The 25424-nt window shown below is 52.8% G+C and overlaps 1 protein-coding gene and 1 long non-coding RNA gene across 6 annotated transcripts in view, besides 5 other annotated features; one reads left to right on the top strand and one right to left on the bottom strand.

Moving 5' to 3' along the window:
- CDH23 (cadherin related 23) overlaps positions 1-25424 on the bottom strand; it is a 419028-nt gene that overhangs the window by 261518 nt on the left and 132086 nt on the right. The window lies entirely within an intron of this gene.
- On the top strand, positions 741-3393 carry LOC105378355 (uncharacterized). Its single transcript, XR_946054.3, has 2 exons — positions 741-872; positions 2894-3393. It is a non-coding gene; the product is annotated as an uncharacterized LOC105378355 (long non-coding RNA).
- Positions 6691-6885: a silencer, noted in NCBI's record as "fragment chr10:73307302-73307496 (GRCh37/hg19 assembly coordinates)". NCBI's record gives its function as "represses an EF-1alpha promoter that drives an FKBP-Casp9 reporter gene in an ReSE screen in K562 erythroleukemia cells {active_cell/tissue: K562}" and the evidence as "EXISTENCE:reporter gene assay evidence [ECO:0000049][PMID:32094911]".
- Positions 9910-10419: an enhancer, noted in NCBI's record as "H3K4me1 hESC enhancer chr10:73303768-73304277 (GRCh37/hg19 assembly coordinates)". NCBI's record gives its function as "activates a minimal SCP1, AML or CMV promoter by ChIP-STARR-seq in naive H9 embryonic stem cells {active_cell/tissue: H9 hESC(naive)}" and the evidence as "EXISTENCE:reporter gene assay evidence [ECO:0000049][PMID:30033119]".
- Positions 11671-12250: an enhancer, noted in NCBI's record as "H3K27ac-H3K4me1 hESC enhancer chr10:73301937-73302516 (GRCh37/hg19 assembly coordinates)". NCBI's record gives its function as "activates a minimal SCP1, AML or CMV promoter by ChIP-STARR-seq in primed H9 embryonic stem cells {active_cell/tissue: H9 hESC(primed)}" and the evidence as "EXISTENCE:reporter gene assay evidence [ECO:0000049][PMID:30033119]".
- Positions 12915-13612: an enhancer, noted in NCBI's record as "H3K4me1 hESC enhancer chr10:73300575-73301272 (GRCh37/hg19 assembly coordinates)". NCBI's record gives its function as "activates a minimal SCP1, AML or CMV promoter by ChIP-STARR-seq in naive H9 embryonic stem cells {active_cell/tissue: H9 hESC(naive)}" and the evidence as "EXISTENCE:reporter gene assay evidence [ECO:0000049][PMID:30033119]".
- Positions 18331-19152: an enhancer, noted in NCBI's record as "H3K27ac-H3K4me1 hESC enhancer chr10:73295035-73295856 (GRCh37/hg19 assembly coordinates)". NCBI's record gives its function as "activates a minimal SCP1, AML or CMV promoter by ChIP-STARR-seq in naive H9 embryonic stem cells {active_cell/tissue: H9 hESC(naive)}" and the evidence as "EXISTENCE:reporter gene assay evidence [ECO:0000049][PMID:30033119]".

The raw sequence follows: 25424 nt of genomic DNA, 5'->3' as shown, positions 1-25424 counted from the left end.
GCCCAGGAGTTGGAGACCAGCCTGGGCAACATAGTGAGACCATCTCTACCAAAAAAAAAAAAAAATTAGTCCAGTGTGGTGGTGTGCACCTGTGGTTCCAGCTACTTGGGACTCTAAGATGGGAAGAATGCTTGAGCCCAGGACATTGAGGCTGCAGTGAGCTGTGACTGCACTGCTGCACTCCAGCTGGGGCCACAGAGTGAGACCCTGTCTCAAAAAATGAAAAACAAAAATCCGACAAAACAAAAAAGAAAACCTGCCTCATGGAGATACAGTGAGGCTTATGGGAGACAAAGCGTGTAAAGTGTTTAGTGCATAATAGGTGCTCAGTAAATCTTTGGCTCTGTCATAATGCTATTACCTCACGGGGCTGTGTAAGGGTTAAGGTGGAAATGTGTATAGACAAGGGTCAGTAAACTGCAAAGTGCTTTGCAGATGTTACTTATGGTGGGAAGGTCTGGAAGGGGAGGGGAAGGTTCTAAAGGCTGAGGTCCCTGCTTTGCCCTTAGCAGAGATAAAACTCCCAGGGAACCCTCTGGGGATCATATGTCTCCCACCTCCATCCCAAAGGGGACCACTCTGGGTGTGCAAAAGCCTCTAACACTGCCCTGAGCTCTTTGTACCCAGATCTATTGCTCACAAATGGGGCTCCATCTCCCAGCCCCCAAATTCATTCCTTTGCATGATGATGAATCATGTTAAACAAAATGAATATGCAAATCTCCTCAGGGCGGGCCTTACATCTATGGGAAGCGGTGCCTAACAAATGGATTCTGAATAAGAAGACAGCTCCAGCAACGCAGCTCTCCTGCTGTCTCTCCTCCCCTGCCCCTCGGACTCCTCCCACCCCTGTCCCTCTGTCCCAAGCCTGGGTGAGTGTACATTCTGAAGGAGTGGGTGAAGGGGGCAGCAGAGGCCTGGGCAGGTATGAGTGTGGTGGGGTAGGCCTGGTGTGGTTTCTGCCTCTCCAATCCTGAGGCTACTGCTGCCGGCCCTTCAGGCGGTGTGATGTGATAAGTGGAACCTGTCACTTGGTGCCCTGGGGCTTAGGGGCAGACAGAGCTGGGGAAGGTTCGAACGGGGCTGCAGAGGAGCTGAGGGGTGGTGAGGGCCGGGGGGTTTGAGGAGATTGCGGGGAGCTGGACCCAGGCAGGGAGAGGGCAGTTGCAGAGTCACTGGGCTCTGGGGACCTTGGAGGAATGGCTTAAGCTTCAATCAGTGAAGAAGGACCGAATGATCCTATTCCAATGTCTATTCCAATGGTTCACACCCCTGGCTGCATATTAGAATCACCTGGGGAGCTTTTAAAAAATAGCAGGCTGGCGCCCAGTCCCTGACTCTGTATCTTTAAATTCCCATCAAGTTCTCATGTACAGCCAAGGTGGGGAAGCACTGCCCTAGCCCAGGAACCCTGTCTTACAGATGAAAAAGCTGAAGCTGGGAGTGGGGGGACTGGATGGTGGTCACACAGACGGTTTCTGCAGTGAGTTCTGCCTGCAGGTGCCCATGTTAGTGCTGACTCCCTGACGTCCCCTACCTTGTCCAAACATGGATGCAAGGTGGCTTCCCAAACACACAGCATTCTTAACCTCGAGGGAAGCAGCATGGGGTGGAAGAAAGAGCCCTGGATGGGGGACAGAAGACCCTGGACCAGGGTCCCCTGTGTGATTCTGGACAAGAATCAAAGCTTTTTGGCTTTCCGGTCCTTGTCCATCCAATGAGGGGGCAGAACCACATCACTCCGCACTCCCTTCCTGCTCAGTTGTGAGTCCTTCCTCAAATCCAAGGCACTCTAGTTCCAAGCCAGCCTCTTTGCTCTGGGACCATCCTTGGAATATAGAAAGGCAGCACGTTCTGAAGCAAAAATCAATGAAAGCATTTCTCCCTCCCTTTCCTGTTTTTTTTCTGAGCCTCACTCTCCAGTGAGATATATGACACTCTCATGCAGATGAAGCACAGGTTAAAACGCCCCACGGCTGGCTATGGGCACCTGCCATGTGCCAGGACTGCAGGGCACAGTCCCTGCATGTGGGCGACCAGTGAAGGAAGGACTTTCTGAGAGTCAAGGGCACTATAAGCCAGGACGCCAGAGGCCTGGCCCCCTGTTGCCCTGTCCCTCCAGCTCTCATGTGGATCACTAGCTGGAAAGGATGGGAGGACACAGAGACATCAATGTGACAACCCAGACACCTGTCTTGTTCCCCTCTTCCACCTCTGTGTGAAAAGTACTGAAGCTCTCTGAGCCTCAGTTTTCTCATCTGTAAAATGGGGGCAATAACACCTTCCTCCTGCATCTGTGGGCCTAGCAGTAATGATTCTGAGACACACAGCCTGAGGCCTGGCCCACAGTCATAGCGGTAGTAGCCATCACTGCAGGAAACTTCATTATTGCCAGTGGCAGCCTCAGGTTCTTATACTTGGGCGGGGACAGCCCAAGGAGGTCCACTCACCTGAGGAGCATTCCCTGAGAGGGGAGGGTGCCCGGCTATGTTGTCTTCAGGAGCTGTCCCAGGATGGGGTCCTGAGAGCTCTAAAGGCTGGATGATGGTGCCTCTGTCCCTGCTGGGGGAGGTGGGCCCTGCCGCAGGGGTTGTGGGAGGAACAGGGCAGAGGGTCCAATTCCTTGGTCTATTGTGTCTCGGAGACCAAGGCCCACTGGGCTCCACTGCTGGCTTCAGGGACAGCTAGAGGTCCTGAGGGTCCTTGGGGTCAGTCTGATAGTCTTCTCATGTCACACAAAGACCATGAGAAGACCACCAGGCTGACACTAAGAAAAGAGGGAAACCAGAATCCTGGGTGCTCCCTGCTGGAAGGCTTTCCTAGGATGGCCATGGTCTCATCTGTTAAGATCAGGCTTGACCAAGAAACAAACTAGCCTTCTCTTCCCTACCAGAACCTCAAGAAGGTATCTTCTGGGTAACTGAAGTGGATAACCAACCGATCAGGAAGTTCCAAGGGCCTTCCAAGCCCCTTCTGGAATGAAGAATGCGGAGACTCGATTTCCACCTAGAAACAGAGTCCCACCCCTCCCTCCTTCTCCTCCTGGCCCCGGGGGTGCCCAGTGAAGGGCCCAACAGCTCCTAGGGCACCCTGACCTTCCCCCAGGAAGTGGGAGAGACCAGCGGTAGGAATTGCAAATGACGTTCATTAAGCAGGATGCTAATACCATGAATTACAAATGAAACCCAGATGAAGAGGACCCTGGCAGCCTTACCTCTGTTAGATATTAATTGGGCGACACTTTGTTTTAATGGTACGTTAATTAATGCGGAATTTCGACGGAAGTCCTCGTGACACTCACATTAATACAAACGAATTCATTACTGTCGGTGTTATTACAAGAAATGACAAATAAATCTGTAACAGTGGGACCCTTCAAATAATAATCACGAATCATTAGGTTTGCCGCTCGTTTGTACTGTAGCTTGCAAATATGTGTATATGTTTTCTGCTGCGAGGAAGCCTTGCCTTTTGGCTAGGGGAGGCAGCCGGTGGGGGCTGGCTCTGGTGGTGGAGGGGAAGCATCTTCCAGACTTTTCTACATCTGCTTTTCCTTCCCTCCTCCACCCACCCCAGGACACTCCTCTTTCTCTTCCCAGAGCTTCCCCCAGGCTTAGCAAGCCCCGTGTCAGCAGCATAATTGATGCTGCCCCCACACCTGCAAATCCAGCATGCCTGGTGTACACTCAGTGGCCTTGAGGATGGGACGGTGGGGGAAAGAGTAACAGCACTGGGGCCCTGGGGTGGACTTGGGCCTGAAGCAGCTGTTCATTCTCAACACGTTTCCCACAGGCAGCCTTGTCTTTTTTCTTTCTCTTTTCCTTTTCTTTCTTTCTTTCTTTTTCTTTTTTCTTTTTTTTTTTTTTTTTTGAGACAGGGTCTCACTCTGTTGCCCAGGGTAAAGTGCAGTGGCACGATCACAGCTTACTGCAGCCTGAAATTCCTGGGCTTAAGTAATCCTCCCATGTGTCAGTCTCCCAAGTAGCTGGGACTGCAGGTGCACACTACTACATCTAGCTCACTTATGTTTATTTTAATTTTACAGAGATGGGCTCTTGATATGTTGCCCAGGCTGGTCTCAAACTCTTGGCCTCAAGCGATCCCCGACTCCTCAGCCTGCCAAGTCACTGGAATAGTCAGTCTGGTCTTAATGTGTCACCCCAAACCTCAGAACATCTGTGGGAGAATTCATATGTCCCATGACCAAGGCTGTACTAGAAGTTTTACGTACTTTCTCCTCTTCAGCCCTCACAACAGTCCCTGAGGCTTTATCCCCATTGTAAAGGAGGAGAAACAAGTGTAGAGAGCTCAAGGCCTTATTCCTAGCTCCTGAGAGGAGGGCCAGTCTTGGGACTCAGCTCTGCCTTAATCTAAAGCTCCCAATACCCTGTTTCCAAAGAGAAGTTTCCATCTGCGGGAAGCCCGTTAATATCCTGGCGGAGGCAGGGATAGCTAGATAAACCCAGCAGGCTGGTCCCAACTCTCCACCCTGCTCTGTGCTTCAAGGTCTGTGGGACCTTGTAGTCCCACAAGGTCAAGAAAGGAACCTCCCCGACCCCGCCCCACAAGCTGGGTCTGCAGCTGCCTTCCTGATCATCTCTCACACCCTCTAGTGCCTTGAAGTTGCAGTCAAGACCGTTTTCGCTTCTCTGGGGCAGTAAGTGAGGCCCCAAGAAACTACCTTGGAGAAAAGTGTAAAACCCGCCTGAGTGACCCAGGTGGATTTTGATCTGAAAATGGCCCGCAGGCTGCCTCTCCTCTGTTCTGCACTCAGGGCAGGCAGTGCCAGTCAAGCACAGTGCTCTTCCCAGACTGAGCCTCGGGATTCTCTACCCAACATGCTGATAAGCAGCTTCCATCGAAGGCCTGGAGTTGGCACATGATTTGAATTGCTGCTTGTTACCCCTGTTTAGAGCATCTTTCCCTGGAGGACTTTAAAATAGAGCCCAGTCTCCTCTGACAGGGATGCCCCAGAGCAGTTCAGCTCAGTGGTCAAGAGATCCAGTAGATGACCCCTCTCTGGAGTCCCTCCAACCCCACAGGCTGGGACTCTATGCATCCGTGCCCCCTCCCCTCCTATATGGGCTAATCGGTCAGTCTTATCATTCACTTACAACAGCTTTCTGACCTTTGGCAAACAGGTGAAACAATATGGAAGCCAAATCCAGTTCTTTCCAGCCCTGAATGTCCACTAATGGGACAAACTCTGTGGGCCCTGCCCAGTGACCTGCCCTCTGCTCTGGCCCAAGGAGCCCCAGCTCTTGGAGGTGAATGCCTTTTAGCTGTTGGCTGCTGTTTCAGGGGTCAGATCCTGGCTGATCAGTAGTGGGCCATATCCACATTTGGGTGTCTGGGGGCTCTGGCCCCTCCCCTGCTTACGCTCTGCCTCATTCACAATGGTGCTGAATGAACCAATTAATCACCTAACACTGTTAACTGTACTAATTACGCTTGCTCTTGAAACTTGTGGAACAATTATTTACTGTCTCTGTCTCATGAGCTATCGGTTATGGTGATTGCAGGCAGGAAGTCATTTCTCTTGAACCAAGATAGAGGCCTAGTCAGGCTCAGAGCTGGTTTTTCAAGAACTCTCTGGAAGGCTTTGCCTAAGTATGGCAAAGCCAGTGGCTTCTTCATGGGGACAGGCTTTGCAGTCTAATAAAGGAGGCAGCTCAACACTGATCTTAAATGAAGTCTTTATTATACCAAAGTTGTTCCCCTAAAAGATAAAATGACAACCACTAAGTACTACCCTGAGGACTGTACTACTTCCTTTTTCCCTCTGTCTCTGTGTGTACACAGTGCCCCCCTTGGCAAGGTTTGGCATCACACACCCAGAGACCTGCAGGGAGGCTGCACATGCACATGGGACTGTGTTTTCCTCCTGGTTCCCCAAGTTGGGGCTCTACATTACCTCTTCCCAGCCCACCTCTGATGTTGCTTCTCCTGTCCCCTAATCCCTTCCACTTGGAGGAGAGCTGGTGCCTCTGACCAAGATCTACATGAAGATAAAGAAGACGTATTCGGTGGAGGCAGCTGTCAGGCTCTGTGCACCCCTCCTGGACCTCGAGATATTCCTGTACTCTGAGGCCACTGGATTAGGAGCTCAAGTCCATATGCCATCACCCCCCTCCACCACGCACACACATACACAAAGACACTCTCCCCTCTCTGTCTCCACCCCGCATGACTGCGTGTGATGTGGCAAACACGTATTTACTCAGGCGTGCAGCAGGCCCCCGCAGGCTGTGGCCCTGTCCCCTGGGCTCCCTCCCCAATCCCAGCCCTCCCGCTGCCCCAGTGCTCATTTCTGAACGTCAGGGCAAAAAGCACTTAGAGCCAACTGCTGAGCCCAAATCTATTCCGGTGCAGAGAAATGCATTCCGTCACCACGCAGCTGACAGGCTCCAGGCAGGCTGGAGGAGCAGCGGCCAGCCTCCGACTGACCCTACCCCACGGGGCCTCTCTTCCGGCTCCTGTTCCCGGCTGGAGTCAAGCACGCCAAGTGGCTGCTTAGCCCTGGCCACAGCAGTTGAGACACTCCCATCTCCATGGAGGCCTCTCTGGGTCCCAAACAAGCCACCGTCCACTTGATGCCTCTGCAGGAGTCTCAAAGACGGCATAGATTCAGCACGCCTAAGAACAAACTCTGGAAACTGTGTCCCCGGCTCCATGAATGTCAATACATTCCCTCTGCACCCACCACTGAGCCAGAAACCAGACTCTTCCTTGCAATTCTGCCTCCAGGAGCAGTTTGCTCCTGTCCCTCCCACCCACCACCACCCCTGCGGGGACCGGCTCACTGGGCTCCACAGCCTCTCTGGCCCTGCAATGTGGACTCCCCCGTGGCGCTATGAATGCCCTGAAATACATATCTGGGCGTGTCGCCACAACCCTATTCCAGTCCTCCAGTAACTCCACAGTGGCTTCCTGTTGACCTCCAGATAAACACCACAGAAGCCCTTCCACACCTGCGCTGCCTGGCCTGCCTGGTTGCCCTTCTCGGCTTCACTGACTCCTCGCCTCCCTCCAGCCCTCTGGCCTTGCACTTCCTCAGATGAACTGGGTGTTGCGCTGCCTCCAGCCGCTGCCTGTGCCATCCGTCTGCTAGAATCCTTTCCTCATCTTCACCCCCAACTCTTGCCTATTCAGCCTTCACATCTCACCCAGGCCTGTTTCCTCCAGAGGCTTCTCTGACCCCCAGTCTGGATCGGGTCCTTGGCTGTATTTGCTCAGAGTTACCTGGCTATTCTCTGGGTCTCCAATCCCACTGACATTAGGTGACTCTCTGGTCACCATCTGACTCCCCACTAGACTGTAAGCTCCTTGGGGTGGGTCCATGCCCAAGTCTGCTCTCCACTGTGTCCCCAGGGCCCGGCCCAGTGCCCTGTATTAAACAGGTACTGAAAAACATCACTGTTGAATGAATGACACCCTGGCCACCCGTCTCTTGACCTGCCCCTCATCTGCCTATTTAATGAGATGGCTGGGAAATACCAGCTCTGAAGTCTCTCCCTCTCATTCATTCAACAAATATTCACCGAGCACTGTGTCCTAGCCCCTGCTGGGAAGTGGAGGCACACTGACAGGCACCTAGAGAGTCTGAAGGCATCTGTGAAGGCAGAGTGCCCATCTTCATGTCAGGAGGTGTGACAGGAAGGGCGATGCACCTGTGTCCTAGTTCCCAGCTCCTCCACTGCCTGAATCTGGTACCTGTGGATCTTTGCTCATGCTGTTCTGTCTGTCTGGAACATTCTTCCCCATTCATTCATTCCACTAATAATGACCGTGCACCTACTATATATCAGGCATGTTCTGTGTTCTAGGTGCAGTGGACACGCAGGCCAACTCCTATGCATGTTTCAGTCCCAACTTGTTTATCACCTCCTCTGGAAAGCCCTCCCTAATTCCCTGAACCTGGGTTGGGTGCCCCTTCTGTGGGCTCCCAGAGCCCACATTCTGCACTGCCTCCATCACAGCATTTATTACACCACCTTAAAATTGCTTGCGTTGCATTAAAACTCCACAACTGCCTTGCTCACCACAGTAGCTCCGGTACCATCATATCGCTCTGCCTGGTATAGAGGAGCCACTCAAAATCCATTTTTCCGCACGAGCAAATGCCTCTGTTTCTTTTACGAATGTCTCCACAAGCTCTAAAGGTAGAGAGGAAGATGCTTTGGACTGAGTTACAGTTGCTGAAATAAACATGGAGAAGGGGCATTGGTAAGGAGACCATGACCAGCACTGGAGAGGCGGAGGGGCTTTGAGACAAGACACCGAGAGGGGATATGAGCTGGAAAACAGTGATTTCCCTGTCCTGGGTGTGAGAATGCTGTGGCCATCAGATCAGAGGGGAAATGAGGCTGCAAGACCAGAAATCCTTGGATGGGCAAACTTGGACAGCCGGGTTACACAAGACTCCAAAACCCTCTGCTTTCAGTCTTACTTCTGTTTGGCCCTGGTACTTCCCTCGGGTGTCTATACCACCCCAGATGTCCTCCTGGCATTGCCCGTCACTCCCTGGGGGGTGGGGGTGGCCTCTGCAATCACTCTGTCCTCTACCTGGAGAGTCACCTCCCCTAAGATAATGCGTGCTTCACTCCCTCAAGGTCTCTGCTCACATGTCCTCAGAGAGGCCCTCCCTGGCCACAAAGCCTGCGCTAGCCACTTGCCTGCTTTATTTTTCTTTGTGGCCCTTCTCACCAGCAGACATAGATGTATGCGTTGGTTGTCTTGTCTCCCCCACTAGATGAAAGGTGCCAACAGCAGGGACTCCATCAGTTTTGTTTGGCTGCGTCCCCAGCTCTGGGAACAGTGCTTAGCACACAGTAGGCCCTGAAGAACTGTTTCTTGAATGAATAAATGAATGATAGCAAATAGGAAGATGGTATGTGGCATCTAAAGCTTATCAGACTAACTGAAAGTGCAAAAGACTCTTTGGGGGTAAGCATCGGGTCTCCTTATGGAGCAAACAGAAATCAGCCCCTGCAGGGGACACAGGGCAGGCTCATTGATGACGACAACCTGAAGACAGCCCGAGAAAGTGGAAGGTGCAAACTGTCTCACTTTTAATGAAACGCACGGTGGATGAGAACGGTCTAATGGGTTTCTCCGAAGGCCACTGACCTCTCTGGCAGGGACAGCTGCTCTGTCCTCCCCCTCCCCTGCCGTGGCCTGGGAGCACGGTGCCTGTCTCAATATCACCTCTCCTCTCTGCAGTCTTCTTTCCCTCTTGTAGCAGGAGCTAAAGAGATTAAATGATCAACCCCCAGGAAAGGCTGGGGTGAGCACTGCTGTCTCTTTCAAGCTATTGCATCTGGTGCTTCTGGCCTAATGGCTGTTTAGTGGATGCGAATCCCTCCTTCGACAGTAACTTACAGGGTGGACGTGGCTTTCCCCTCCTGCTACTGTCACCAGGGGTTGGGGTCGGGGACTGACTCTGTCCCCAGGGTTACCCCAGGGCACACACTGCACCAGTCACAGACACCAGACCCCAGCCACAGACCACCTCCAACCTCTAAATCTAGCCATAAAATGACTCTCTAACTGTCAAGAAATTGGAACATCATTCGATGGGCTCCTGACTGGCGGAGAAGTCAACTGAAAATGATCCGACTCCCTTTGAAGGTGGGGAGAGTTAGAAAACGGAGCACTATCTTCTTCCCCCAGATAGCTGTGGCCAAAGTTCTTTGCCTCGTGGGTCTTGTCTGTGGCATTGGTGGCTTCTACTTCATGCCTGATTGTGGGAGGGGTATTTGGGGTGTGCAGCGTGTCCCAGGGCAACGTGCCTGTGGCCCCGGGCCTGGTGTAGGTATGCTCCTCCTCTTTTCCATCCCGGTCACTAACCGGTTAACCCTCTGCCAGCATTCCCACTCCTGTGGCTGGAACACAAGGCAGAGGGTGGGAGCGGGCGTGGGGCAGGCTCTGCTGGCAGGGCTCTGATTGCCTTGCCTGCCACTGTCCAGCCCCCAGCCTACTCCCATCGCCAGCTTCGTCCACTCTGCCCTCCCCCTGGTGAGGCTGGGGGTGATTGGAACCCCTTCTGCTAGAGCTGATTAGGCCTGATTTCACCAGCCTGCTTCCACCTCTGGAAACTTCCCCTGTTATTAGAGTTGTTTTCCGCCCACTCTCTCGGTCCACTGGATGAGGAGAGTTTATTTGATTTGATTTCTACCCCCATCTCCCTTTTTTCCGCTACTCCCGTCCACCTCTCCTGCATCTGTGGCAGCCAAGCAGACCAGAGTTCGGTAAAAACCAGGAAAATTAGCTTCTAACCTCAGGAAAGAGCTATAATAAAGCCAGGTGAATAATAAAAGCTTTATCTAACATAACTCTGATTAAAAGCTCAGGCCTGCCTCCTTATCCTATCCTGCCCCACGAGGACGAGGCTGGCCCTTTAAAGCAGCTGATGGTTGAAGGGATGGAAAATACAGCCTGCTCTTGCTTCCAATTTGCTTTTTTCCATCTTTTTTTTTTCTCCTTCTCAAGCTTTGTTTTACAAATTGGGGCACTCTCTAAGAGGCCCAAGGATCCGTCTGCTGCACTTCATTCTGCTCTACAGTACTTAGCAGCTTTGGGAGAACCAAGTCACTGTGAAGCAACAGGTCCCAGCAGCCCTGGGATCCTCCACATCCCCACATGGGGTGGGGTGGCTGGTAAGAGGGTGCTGGGAGGTTCAGCTCCACCCTGGCCCCTGAACTCTATAGAGCCTGAAGGTAATCACAGTGCCCATCTGGGCCTCAGTTTCCCATCTGTCAAATGGAAAGAACCTTTTCCCTTGCTAGAGTGGCTAGGAGAAGCATGAGGACTTGTAAAATTCAGATTGCTGATGGAAAAAAAATGGTTGACTTCCTCCCTCTTAGCTTGCACTGTTATAACCAGAATCATCTATGCGGAACTGGGTGAACAGGAAATCACTTGGCATGTATTCACCCGGCATGGACAGCATCGGCTGCATATGGACCCTAATAAACATGCTGTGGGCCAGACCCTGGAGAGGTCATTACCATCAGACATCTGATCTGTGGGTGCTTTGACAGTGAGGGTAAGGAGAGAGGGGAGCTGTCCCCATCCTCAGGTCTACTACAGCAAGGTTTCTTCCAGTGCTCTCTGGATAATGGAGGTCCTCGGGGACAACAGGCCTGAGGATGAGGGTGACAAGTTCTGGACCATACTGGGCTGCAGAAGTGAAAGCCCTGCTCCAGAAATCAGACACTTGGGTCCCCACCCAACTCCCTGTACTCCTGGGTGGGGCCGGGTGCTCAGCTCTCCGGGCCTTGGTGTCCACACCTGCTGAATGGGGCCCTGGAGGAACAGCGTCTCATAAGTCTGTGCATTCGGGCTGTTCTGAGAAGTTCTGGACTTGCTAGCCTTGCATTACAATGACCTTAGAGCACTGCAACGCTGGCCTCTGGACAGGCCTAATTCCACAAGGCAAGGGCACTCCCATCCAATTCCCCTTTTTGGTGGTTGTCCCCCACTTCAAAACCAGGGGCCCACTAAAGCCCCTAGGCTCACAGAAGCCCCCTGCACGCTGCCACCCTGGAAAGGGGCTTGCTGTTCAGAGCCTCGAAGAACCCGCTCAGCCTGTGCCTCCCCCAGGGGAAGGGGTGGGGAGAGCTGAAGTGTGGCAGCCTGGAGCCTGGCCCTGCTGGCTGGGCGGGTCAGTTTCATTCACCATTCCCAGCCTTCTCTCCCTCAGGGCACCAGGCTGTGGAGGCAGGAGTCTGGTGCTTTTCAATTTCACGCCAGGTATCAGCAGCCAGGTCTTGGCTGGCCTTATCTTCTCGGCCTCCTGCCTAGGTGGGCGCCTGCTGAGCTCAGCCTCCCTGCAAAGCCCAGAGAGAGGCTGTACAGGGCAAAGACTTGTGGGCAGAGGGGGCCCTGGAGAACTGACATCTGTTGGGCAGGCAGGGAGGCCAGGCCCTGAGTCCTGCCATCGGAGGTGGCAGCCTTGTGACCAAGAATCCTTAAGCACAGCAAGACCCTAAAGACAGAGGATTGAGGGCTGCAAATCACAGAGTCACAGATTAATCAATATTCTCCCAGCTGGACGATCCTAGGGATTCTTTTGTCCTCTATCCCACTCTCCCTCATTCTCCATATGAGGAAAAGGAGGTTCTGGAGAAAAGAAGTAACTTGCCCAAGGTCACATGGAGCGAGCAGAGCTGGGATCCAACCCCAGGCTGTGATGCCCAGATACCTGGCTGTTAATTACTAAGCTACGCCACCTTTCTATCTCCAAGTCAACTACATCGAAGATCCTGAGAGGGTCTTCACACACTGAGCGATCCCTAGATAGAAGGCGCCTTCCTCCTGCATGGGACCAAGCCACTGCCTCTCACAGCCTCAGTTTCCTTATCTGGAAAATGAGGAGAGGAAAAAAGTCCTTACCGTCTTTTGTAGATATAAATCAGGGGTCAGCAAACTATGGTCTGTGGGCCAAATCTGGCCCACTGCCTGTCTTTGTTGAAACCACCAGCAAAGAATGATTTTTACATTTTTAAGTGCTTAGCAAAAAATCAAAAGAAGAATAATATTTTGTGATGTGTAAAAGTTATATAAAATTCAAATCTCAGCATCTATAAACTTGTATTGGAACACGTTGTCCTCAGTCTTTTATATGCTATCTGTGGCTGCTTTTGTATCACAAGAAAGGTGAGTGGTTGCAACAGAGTCCATATGGCCTGCAAAGCCTTGAACATTTACTCTCTGGCCCTTTATAGAAAATCTTTGCTGACCTCTGATGTAAGACTGAACTAAGCCTGGCCTCCAAACCCCCAGAGCAGCCAGGAGTGGGAAAACCCAAGGAGGGAGCTGGGTGCAGAAACTCCTGCCGGAAGTTCTCTAGCCACACATGCACAGGTGAATCCCATCAAATGATAGCACGCACACTCTCCACAGTGCTCCTCAATGTCCAGAGTGAAGAAGTTTCCTCCTAGCAGCCTGCAGCTCTGGGACCTGCCCTCTAGCCCAGGGCCAGGGCCCCAGACTTGCCTTTCCAAAGTCTCTGTTCCTACTAACTTTGCTGTGGCTCACAGGTCCATAGGTTCCCTGCCCGGCTGGCTGAGGCTTGAGTGTGTTGTCAATAGGCAGGTGACCGTGTGGCTGTTGCGGGGGCCAGGAGGAGAGGAATCAGAGCGGGTAATTGCTGCGTGAAAATGACAGCACAGCTATTTATCCACCCCAAACTGGGCCTTGGCATACCAAGAGGCGGCCAGCGGCTGGGAATCAATACCGCCCCAGAGGAGGGATTATTAGGGAGAGAAGGGGGTTTGAAAGATCCATAAGAGCCTGATGACTGTCTATTTCCAGGGGGGCCATCAGCTGCATGAGAATTGTGTGCTCAGGAGCAGGGCTCTGGCAGCATGTGCAAGGGACGCTGGGCTTGCAGGAGATCTGGGGCCCTCTCCTTATTTACCTCCTGACCACCAGAGGGATGGAGTTGGGTAGGGCCTGCGTGGGAGGAACCTGGGTTCCAAGAACCAGACTTTGGGGTGGAAACTGGGGAACATGAGAGAGACCCATTCACCCAAAGTGTGCAGCTGGCCCAGGGACAGCAAGCAGAAGACCTTGTCCTGGTCTTAGCTCCAGCCTGATCGGCTATGTCATGCTGGATAAGCCCTCCCATCAGGGCCTGCCATCTCCAGTCCAACAAGACCCAAGGGACAGGAAGTCACCTGGGCACTTGGGATTTGCACAGAGCTGGGCTGCTGGGGAATTTCTCAGCTGGGGCCCTGGTCGGCACAACTGAGAGACGGTAGGTGGAGACTCCTTCCTGAGCTGACCTTCTCTAGCCCCATCTCAGAGCCTTCTTTTCCTTTCTCTGTCCAAAAGAGCAGGGAAGAAGTGAAATGGGGGGAATAAGCAGGGGGTCTTCCTGGGGTAGTGAGACCAGCTAAGTCATCACCAACAGCACGTGTGGTTTGTGCAGGCAGCAACGTCACAGACCCCACGATTCTATCAATCTCCAAGGGCCAGTAGTTGTGAGTCTGGGAAGGCTGGGGCGGGTGAGACATTCCTTGACCACAGTCTAGTAACTGGCCCATACAGGCATGCCTGCAGGAGCCTTAGCACCATGCACTGAATAACCCAGTCAAGCTGAAATTGCCTAGTGAGAGGGGGAAAGGCAGAGGAGAATGAGCTGCTTTCTGGTCCAGGGTCTGGGCTGATAAGAGGGTGGGTTCCCTAGTGCAGACCCAGGAGGATTGTGCACTCTGGTCTGCACGTGAGCCTCGGCCCCCTCCAGCTCCATCCCCCTACCCCGGAGGAAGATCATACTGCCTGACGGCTTAACATCTGAGATGGCCTATGCCCCACATCCTTAGTGAGCAGAAAGTCATGGTCCACCCAGGACTGCCCCCACCAGCACACTAGCGGGGTCCTGTTAAAAGGGAGGTCCCTGGCTCCCCACCAGGGTCCAGGCAGCAAAGAAAGTGTTCTGAAGCCAACTTGCTCCCTGCCAGGCGCTACACCAGTGAGCATCCTTGCTCTTCCACCATTTAACAAGACAAAGGCAAACACATGCAGCCTGTCTTCAAGGAGAGGGAAAGGGGAAGATGGGTGGGGAGCAAGCAGGAGAGGGAGAAAGAGAAGAAACAGGGAGACAGAGAGAGGTCAAGAGAGTCAGAGAAAGGGGTAAATGGGAGAAGATGGGAAAGAAAGAAGGTAGAGAGTCTAAGAGAAACAGGTATGGAGAGAAGGGAGAGAGGAAAGAGAGAGAAGGGAGCAAAGAAGTAGAGTGGAGTGGGAAGGCAGGAGAGGGAGAGGGCTTGAATATGCATAGTTCTCCAAGGAGGAGAGAGGCTGGGTTTGCAATGCAGCCCTCAGGAGACAGCAGGAACAAATTGGGTTTTGAAATGGGAGATAAAAGGAGCTGTTATATCTCTAGTTTTGCATCATTTAGTTCATCAGGCTTGACATGCGTCTAACAAACAAAGCCACAAGCAGAGAAAGAAAGACCAGAGAGAGAGAGAAAGAGAGAGAGAAAAGCAAGTGGTCCTCCCCTGGCCCTGCACACTAAGCTGACACCTCTGATTTTTATTCCAAAGACTTGGTCTCCTGCTGGAAGGAGCCAGGAGGGAGCCCTGGAGTGCCAGGCTATAGGTGGGCTGGGTCCAGGAGGGCTGGGACTGGTCTGGACAGGCATGAGGGTCCTAGGCTGGGGCTGCACCATAAGCCAGGGTGCTCACTCTGGGTTCCTGGCTGGGGTTCCCAGGGGAAGGGCAAAGGGGCTACGGCGTGGATGGGTCCAGGTGTCTGCCCTCTGGAGGACACTGTCACACACCTGTCCCACCAGTGGGGAGAGAACTAGGGAGTGGTAGTTCCCTAGGCAGAGCCACAGCGTGAGGAGGATTCATGTCTGGACTGGAAGGACCAAGGCACCGGAAACTCCCCAGGTTCCCTGGATACAGGCTGAGCCATGTTCCCAGGGTCAAAATCAAGTGAGGAGAGCAGTTTCAGGGCTTCAGGCTTTTGTTCTCTCGTCCCTACACATGTCTCCTGATTTCTTATTCTGTCCCTTTACCAACCATGAGAACTTGGCAAAACACTGCCTCCAGCCTTGGTTTCCTCATCTATACTGAGCGGTAAGAACTCCCACACTGGCCACAGGTGAGGATTTAGTAGAGTAGGGCAGGCAAAAGCACCTGGTATACTTTCAGAACCCAGATGCACTCATTCACAGAAAAGAAAATACAGTTATGAATGATTGCAAACTCCTGCGAGTTTGTTGCACGCTGTATCCATGGACAAGGCAGTTGTTCTAGCTGCCTGTCATTTGCTGGAGTATATTCGCCTCAGCATCAGACAGTCTTGATGCACTTGCCTTGTACCGTTTTGCTAAAATCAGATTAATCGGAGAAACAGAAAAAAAAATATGTTGGACATGACAGGGAAGCAGGAAGAGAAATGGCTTTTGGCTGGGGCGGGCCAATGGCTCCAGCAATCACGGGCCCTAGAACAAGTCATTTCACTCGTCTGGGCCTCAGTTTTCCCAAACGTCGAGTGAGGCCAGACAGGCTGGAAGGTCCCTTCCAATTCTGATAGTTGATCCTCTGGAATCTGGGAGGTTGATGGTGGCCATGCAATAAGCCAAGAAACTGCCAGGCACCAGGCTGACATATTTTCCCTCACTGGGGGACCTGGTGGCGAGTTATTAACACATGCTGGAGACTGTGAGAAGTTCTCAGCTTTCGTCAACCCCTAGTGTATCGGAAATGAACTCATTGATCACTTTCGTAGTTGTTCTTCCTGAGCAACGTGACCATGGAGACCTGGTGGGGGCGGGTAGGGCCAGGAGCAATGCAGACCTGCGTATCTTTTTCCTGGCCTTGCTGTACATATTGGCCTGACTTTGGATCTCAGTGACTCCCATCTGTAAAATGGACTCAGTGATGTGGACAGTGCTGGCTGCTGAGGCTTAGAGGGAAACCGACAGCTTTACTCTGTGCAGGGCTCCCTACTGAGGGAGTGGGAGAACCATAGGCTTGAATCCCAGCTCTGCTCTATACCAGCCGAGTGAGTGGGAGGAGTCGGCTTCAGTTCTTGGCCTCAGTCTCTTTGTTTGTGAAATAAGATGATAATAACACCATCATCGCAAAAACAGTCAGGAGAGGGAAACGAAGTGATGTTTGACTCAGTTAACACAGCGTGGGCCCAAACTCAGGGCTCCTTCAAGGGCCACTGTCACTGTCGATTTGGGGCCTAGGATAAAGCCAGATAAATGGCTGAGATGCCTTCAGCTGGGGTTTTTTTGGGATGGACTGATGGGACAGGCAGGAGGAGAAACCAAAAGCCTGCGGTCCACACACTGTTCCTTCATCACTGGGCTCCTTGGACATCAAAATGAGAAAGGCTCTTTATATTCCCTTAAAAACACCCAGTTTTTAAGGCCACTTGGCAGAGGCCAAGCTACTCCTGGCTGCACTGTCCTCAGCATCAGTGATACCAAGAAAAATGTCTTATATGAATGTGTTTTCTAGTGTCTTGACTTTTTTGAGGGGGGCAGGAATGCTAGTGACATTCTGCTAGCAAACGAAAATGCAAATGGGATGACTACCCCTCCCCACCGTGTCAGATCCCTGACGGATCATGTCCCGGGCTCTCCGCTGTGTTTATTACCACTAATGACTTTCTCGTTATGATTTGGCTCCGAAACATAACCGATGATTCTAGGAGAAATCCCATTATTTCCACATATTATTCAATTAGGGAACCAAGCTGCTCTTCTGCTTGGGGAGTAGGGGTTGCCAGCCCCAAAGGGTGGGCACTTGCCTCTTGCTTTCACCCCCAGGCCCTCAGCCATGGGCCCATGAAGGTTGGGAAAATGGAGATGGAGCTGGGGGGAGCAGTTGGAGGGTCAGCGCCAGCTCCTGTGGCAGTCCTGTCCAGTGCACGGTGGCGAAGGCAATATGGAGCCTTTCAGAGCAGCCTCGCAATCAAATATCCAAATGGTTCTGCCTCTCATTCCAGTTTTATAGGCCAGACTGTCCTCAAGGCTCGCAGGACAGCAGAGGTCTCCCATGGCAAGAGGAGCACAGCTCAGGTACTTGCATCTTTGTATTCCATGGTCTCCTGGCCCCCAGAGACCCCACTGCACCCTGATGGGTCCCTTCCACCACCTCCTCCACTTGGGATCCTGGCCCCTTCTCTTCATTGTGACCTTCTCCTGAAGACCTTTCCCCATCACATCACATATCCAGCTTACCCTACTGACCCGTTTGGGTCTGGATGGGACAGGGGACTATGCGTTGAATATCAGCAATGGATTTCCATTGTCCACTGTCTTCAACCCTGCCCCACCCAAAAGTGAGTCTCCAGCCCCATTCCAAATTCAATCTACAACCCAAATCCCAGCAGCCTTGTCCACTCATTTCCTGTTTTCGTGATCGTCCTCCTCCCAGCCTACTCTCATTTGTGTCATGCCGTCACTCTAAAACCTTCAGTGACTCACTATTTTCATTACATCAAAAGCAAACCTGCCTTTCAAAGCCCTCACAGTCTATTCCTTCCACTGTTCGCAGCCCACCCCTCCCTCTTGCCCAGGGCCTTCTCTGGCTCCATTGAACCAGCCTCCTCCTCACTAGCCCCAGTCAGACCAAACTCATTCCTCCTTCTGCTCCTCTGTCCACTCCCTAAATGTGTCCCCTTCATTGCCTTGGCCTCCATCAAGCCATACCGTTCAGGGTGCCTCGAGCCCTCCTTCCACAGAGGCCTGTCAGCACCTACAGCCTGCTCTCCATGGAGTAACCCTCCCTGTGCCTCCTTGTCCCCATGACACCATGCTCACTTCTATGTTTGGTTCCCTTTCCCACGATGCAAGCGCAGGCTTCCTGAGGGCAGGGGCCATGCCACAGCAAGGCGCGTGCACCTTCTGCTTGCCTTCTGACCCCCAGCCCATGCAGATCTCGGGCAACCAGCCCCGAGGCCTGGAGATCGAGGACTTCTGCCGAGAGCGTGTGTCCTTTCCTTGGCCATTTCCCTGACTGTCTGTCTTGGCCTGATATTGTCTGTTTTGGTAATGGGCACTTTCCCTGTGTCCCAACTCAACACCGTGTGGAGAGAGCTGCCTATGCAGCACATCTGGGCCGGAGCACAGTGAAAATGTAATGCCACTTGCCTGGCTCAAACCCTCATGTCCTCAGGGCACATGGGACAGGGTGGGCTCCAGCTGTGCCCTGGCAGATAACCAAGTCCCTGCCCTGGGGCTCACATCAGGGTCCATCTCCTCCAGCTAGCCAGCCAGGGACAGTTGCCGCTGGCCTGGGGAACACTCAGAACTGGCTACCAGGCAGAACACAGGTCAAGTCCTATCCCACAGAGCTCCACATGGTGAAAGCCCATGCGAGGGTGTCTGTCTATGGATGAAGCTTTCTTCCCACTTCTTCAGACCCCCTGAGTGGCCTCACCATGAGGCATTTTCCTTGGCGTTTTCCAGGATGTGGAGCGAAACCTTCTACAGTGCCACAAAGCCCACTAGGCCTGGAAGTCAGGCTCATGCAGGAGGTGCTGACTCGTGGTGCTCATGGTTCCGAAGACTCCTCACCACCGGAACGGGCTGGGAAAGGCAGGAGGGGCCACGCCCTGTGTGAGGGAATCAGAGCTCACCCTCCTCCCGGTAGAACATGGAGACCTGATCAGGAATGCAAAGTGGGCCCGGAGCAAGACACAGGCTATAATTTACACAGTGTCTTTGGGCTTACCCAGAGGTTACAAGCACCATCCACCCGCTCCCAACCAGTCTGCCCTTCCTTCAGTCCTACTGCTGTCTTTCTCCTGCTCCATAAACCACCAGCTCCAAGCCATAAAAAGTGCAATGAGCAGTCTGGATGGAAAAGACTGGGCATGGAGCAGGCAGTCAGCCATGCTTCCCTGAAGAGCCGCGGAGGGCACAGGCAAAGTGAGCCCAGCCCCCAGGGGCCCTCTCCTGACAGCCCACACAGGGAGGGGAAGACAGGGGCTCTTCAGGCATCAGGCCAGGAATGACTGGCTTCCTCAGCTGGAAGGACCTCTTCCCTCAGCCTGTCCAAACCAGGAGGGGCCTCCAGGAGCCTGGAGTTTAGAGCAAGAATGAATCCCACAGATCCCCACAAGCCTTGCTTCTTGGTTTGGAGCAATACTTTGGGGCTGTGCCAATGTCCAAACCTGTCATATCTTCCAGCACAGGCAGCAACTGCCATTCTCAGAACAGAGCCACTGGACAGCAGAAGTCAGGGCAAAGGAAAGAACCTTAAAATGTCACGGGGTCGAACATTTCAGGGAAGTGGCTCTGACTATCACATGAGTTTAACTGTTGGTTCTGACATAGGGGGTGGTGGCAGAACTGGGCTGGAAAATGCAGATGGGTCTGCTTGTCAAGCTGGCAGGATTCTTCTGAACTTTAGGAATGAAAGGTATTTCAAGAAAGTGTAGGGGTCAGAGAGTTTTAAGTAGAATTATTTCATTTCTGTATCAGTAGCAAAAGACTGACTTGAGTAAGGGGAGCAGCAAGGATGGGGCTGTGGGGATTCCGCAGCGATGGGAAGTTTTTCTCCGCAGTGATAGCGCTGTGGTGGTTGCTAGGGGCAGCCAAGACCCCCAGACATGAGAGTGGCAAGAAAACTGTGAAAAATCAGGACAGGTGCTCTGTGGTGGAGTTGAGGGGCCTGTTCCGTGGGCTAGTTTATGAGCCAGCCTGACCCAGATTCAGCCCGAGATGATGGACACTTGGCTCCAAAGTTTATGGATCGGGGGTGGGCTGGAAATATGCTGGCCACCTGGAAGGAACCAGTGGGATCTGGGGACAATCATGTATCCAGGGTGGGGACAAGATTGGGCATCTCGGCGCAAAGGGATGCAGCAGTGCCCTGAGGGACAGCCTGACACACTTAGGAAATGTGTGGGAAAACACTGGGCTGTTTATCATAAAATCGGTAAAGAAAATAGGATGGTTAAAATTCAGACCCTGGCCGGGAATGAGGAGGGGACAGTGGGAGCTTCAAAGGTGCTGGTTTTGAAACCTCAGGAAAAAATAATGCTGGGAAATAGGAAGTGGGATGAGATCTCTTTCCTAGAACAGAGTTATAGATTTAGACAGCTGGTAATGAGAGCGGGCTGGGGGAGAGAATATTTATTTGCACGTCTTGCTCTGCCACCCCATCTACCGTCTCTGCAGCCACCAGAGACCCCTCCCAAAAGCAGAGCTACAACTGCATCCTTCCCTGACCCCAAAGCCCTCCAACCTCTCCAGTGCCAAAGAGGAGAAAATCCAAACCACTGACTGGGATGTGCTGCATCCTGTGTCACATAGCTCTAATCACCTACGCTTTTAACAGGCTGCCCCAACTAAGTGCCTTCTGGCCTCTGCAGCCCCAGCCAGTGTGTGTGTGTGTGTGTGTGTGTGTGTGTGTGTGTGTGTGTGTGGTGTCCAGCCAGCCTAGGGTCACAATTGCGTGGGTTTCTACTTGTCTCCCTCATTAGACCACAGGCTTCTGCGGGGCAGGGCGGTGTTTCATTTGTGTGTCTTCCATATCCGAGAAGCCAATGAGTATTTGAGTATTTGTTGAATTTGTTACCCATAAAATCAAAGGCTAAATACAGCATGGCATGGCCTAACCCTGTGAGGTGGCAGGGAGGTATTCCTGTCCTCATTATGCAGACAAGGAAGCCAAGGTCCAGATAATAAGTGACACTCAAAGTCAACTGACTGATGGCAGAAACAGGATGAGAATCAAGGGGTCTTGTGATTCCGGAGCTCACCATGCCGCTTCTCCAAGCCGCCTTCGGGGCAGGCAGTGCCAGCAATCCATGGTCTACAAAGACGTAGTCCCACCCAGCAGAGGCCAGAACACAGGGAGAGTGTCACACCCACAGTGCCAGATACAGCGCTGGGCACACACAGACAATTAAAAATACTCGGCTGGGCGCAGTGGCTCACGCCTGTAATCCCAGCACTTTGAGAGGGCAAGGCGAGTGGATCACTTGAGGTCAGGAGTTCCAGACCAGCCTGGCCCACATGGTGAAACCCCGTCTCTATTAAAAAATACAAAAAATTAGCCAGGCATGGTGGTGGATGCCTGTAATCCCACTTACTTGGGAGGCTGATGCAGGAGAATCGCTTGAACCTAGGAGGTAGAGGTTGCAGTGAGCTGAGAGTGTGCCACTGCACTCCAGCCTGGATGACAGAGTGATACTCCGTCTCAAAAAAAAAAAAAAAAAAAACAAAAAAAAAAAAAAACAAAAACAAAAGAAAACTTGCCAACATCAAACTTAATCCTACTCATCAGAAGGCCTTAGTATAAGGAAAGCTCAGGGCTGGGGACTCAAAAGGTCAGGTTGCCTGAGTCTCCATCCAGCCCCAGAGGGAGTTAAAAGTGGACCTCAGAGAGGGCCCCTCTGGGAGGGCTTCTGCCGTGGGGTGTGCCTGGCTGGCACAGATCCCCAGCCTCTGGATCTGGAAGGCTAAGGGTTAACTCACCTCTCCAAGTTCCACCAGCTCCCCTCCACCCCTGACGCTCAGTGCTCCTAAAGAAGGGCCTGCCATTACCCTGATTGGACTCTCCAAGGTAATCGGGGCCTCAGAGCCCAGCTGCTCGGTTGCAGGCGCTCTCTCCCTTAGACGCAGCCAGGAGGCTGGCGGAGAGCAGTCTCTGTGAGAGGCAGATGGGGCTGTAATGAACTGAAGACGTGTGACAGCTACAGAGGAACAAGTTCATCAATTAGAGGCTCCTTGCCCAAGGGCTTCTGGGAATGGCTGTTGTTGGGGAAGGAGAAGGCTGACTGGGCTTCCTGCAAAGGTCCTGATGCCTCAAGCTAACTCACTTCCCCATCTTAGGCCCCTGGAGGAGTCTCAGCCCCTCCTTCCTGGCTCCCAAACAGCTTTTCCTACCTTTTGCTCTGGGGTCTCTCTGAGGGACTCCCCATTTTTGGGAGGAGCTGGCTGGTAGTTTCCCTGGGGACTAAGGGTCTTTTGAACAAGACTGAGAAACGTTTAGTCCAGCCCCAAACTCTTCAACTCCTTAGAAAATCAAATTTGTGAGCAGAATGGAATCACTGACACTGTTGTTCCCCTCTTTGGCTCTGAATCACACATTCAGAGACCAAAGGTATAAAGAAGATCTTGGTTCAAAGCTGACCCTGAGGCACCACAGTGACACAGAACCAATCTATGTGTAGGAGTCAAAAATGTCACCACTTCCTGCCTGCACAGGAAGTGCCAAATATGGGTGTTGTCTATGGCTAGGAAGACAAGGGCAGTGATGGGCCATGGAGGCTCTCTGGTCCTCAGCCGCTACCTCAGCTCCCCCTCCCTACCCAGCCTGGCTCCCCATCCCTACCCTAGGGCTGGGAAGGGTAAGCCATGCCCACTTTCCCAAGGCTAATGAGCACAGAGCAGTCACTCTAGTGGGGTGAGTGCAGCTACTACTTGTGCAGGCAAAGGCTGTGGGCGACTAACTCACACACATTTCAACTGCATATATTTTAAAATAAGGGGCAAATGGGCATCTTAGAATTGGAAAATACAATATTTTTAGAGACATGTGGGTGTCAATGGAGGTTCAGAATCATGAAGAGGTGATGCTGGGCTTATGACCTTATGCAGGGAATGAGGGGACACCGATTGTTTGCACTGGCAAAAAGCTAGAATGCAGCCCAAGGGTCCGCAGCTGGGGGAGTCTTGGCAAATGAAGGACAGCTCTGAGGCCTCTTTGCTCTTTATAAACCCTGGTAAGCCAGTTACAAGCTAGTCAGAGGTTCACACGCTGCTGCTGCTGGGCCCAAGGGCTGGGTTCAACCCCGTGGCAGCCTCTTAGGGGTGAACTGTCATAGACCCTATCCCAACCAGCAAATCTGGAACCATGTGGTGCAAATGGCAGGGAAGCCTATACCAGCTTGACATAGGAGGAATTTTCTTATGATGTAGAGATGCCTGAACTTGCCACAGAGCCGAGAGCCTCATGCCAAAGCAAGGTGTTCAGACAGGCTCTCTATGTATCATGCATATTCTGAGGTCTGCTGGCCAGCTGTGTAACCCAGGGCAGTCACATTCTGGGTCTCTGCTTTTTTATCTACATGATGGGAAGAGTGAATGAGCCTTCCTCCAAGGTGGTCGAAGAATGAAACGATGCCTAGAAAGTGCTGAGCACAGTTTCTGGCCCATGGGACATGTTCGGTAAGGATTAACTGCACATGATGCTGTGCATTGGTCGGACAGAAGGTTGGGGAGATGAGTGTTCTGACTCCTCCCTCTTCTGATGGTCACGAAGGCTGTGAATGCCAACCCTGGTTGGGGACATGTGAGATGAGAGGCTGTCGGAATTGTAGGTGCTTGGGAAAGAGGGAGAAATATGTGATAGCTCTGCTCACCTGCAAGACCTCGAGAGACCTAGCCTCACACACCTGCCCCCCGATGCCATGCCAGCCAGGCAACAAGAATGACAGCACAATCCCCACGGTCCTTGGCAGAGCAACACAGAGTGGAAAGGGGGTGCTTCAGGCCAGGCGGCGGGTGGAGAACGGCTTGGCAGTCTGCAGAGGCCTATTCACCTGTCCTGGGACTGTGACTCCGGCTGCTGAGAGGCCCCACTGTGGGCACCGGCAGGGTGAGAGGAAGGCCTGAGCTGGCCAGACAGAGCCGGGAAAGGTGGGCCTCTCTCTCCTCACCCAGCCTGGCCGACGGGTCCAGAGCCCCCAAGGAGGGCTTGTTACATGCCAGTGGAGTCCTGTGTAAGGAAAGCCTGGCTGACAGAGATAAGCTGTGGCATCCCAGCACCAGCCCGGGCTCCTAGGAGCTGCTGAAGCATATATTAATGGGACCCATTCAGCTCAGCCCGCATGGCAATTAATAACCGGCCAGGCAGAGACTGAGTCTGGGGAGAGTGTGTGTGTGTGTGTGTGTGTGTGTGTGTGTGTGTCTGTATGTGTGTATGTGTGCAAATGCCTGAGTCTCCATCCAGCCCCAGAGGGAGTTACAAGTGGACCTCAGAGAGGGGTAAGCTGCAGGCTGGGGTGGGTGGGTCAGAGTCTCTTTCCTTAAGGACCTCCTCCTTGCAGCAGACCTGTTCCCACCCCAGGCTGGGTGAGAGGGGCCTGTCCTAGCTTAACCCTTCCAGCTGAGTTCCGTGGGTAAGGAGGAGGTGGGAGGCAGGAAAGGGCCTGTTTCTTGGGCTTGTAGGGCTCAGGTGGCCGGGAGCCACCCAGCCAGGTGGAGCTGGGGGCGAGTAAGGGAGAGACAGTCTTAAAGTATGAGTGTGATACACTCTAGTTTCCCTTCTCCTTGATTTCCATGTTCTGCTAGATGTTCTGAGATTGGAAGGGTGTGTGACGGAGGGAGGAATAGGGATATGCAGAAACATGCCATCTGGTGCTTTTGTGACAACTTAGAAAAACATACCCTTCAGAGTGGACCCTACCCTATGAGTGCAAAGCTCCATGAAAAAATGGCCCCTCTGTGCCGAGAAAAGCATGCTCCTTCCTCCAGACAAGGCCACCCCGCTCCAGGATACGCAGCTTCCTGAGCAGTGAGCAGTGCTGGGCTGCATCTCACCAGCGCTCTCCTCCCTGCACCGGGTACTACGTGCATGACCCCAGAGGGCGGCCCTGCTCCAGAACTGGCTGTTGCCACCCTGGGTGGGTCCCTCCCAGCTGAGTCCTGTGTTGAACATCTGGGTCACTCTTGCTTGGCCCATGGCCCTGGCTGCTTCCTAGAACCTTTGTCTTCAAAGTGAGGTCGGAGGACCAGCAGCACTGGCATCGCCTGGGAGCTTAGTGGAAACAGAGTCTCAGGCCCCACCCAGAGCTACTGAATCAGGATCCACATTTTAACAAATGCTCAGCTGACTCACATGTGTGTTAAAATACGGCTGAGAAAACACTGGGGTTGTCCAAATAGTGGCAGAGGTGGAGTAGAACATGGGGGAAGAGAGACTCAAAGTAGAGAGAGA

Source organism: Homo sapiens, chromosome 10 (genome assembly GCF_000001405.40).
Source record: "Homo sapiens chromosome 10, GRCh38.p14 Primary Assembly".
NCBI lineage: Eukaryota > Metazoa > Chordata > Mammalia > Primates > Hominidae > Homo > Homo sapiens.
This window is presented reverse-complemented; position numbering and strand designations above follow the sequence as displayed.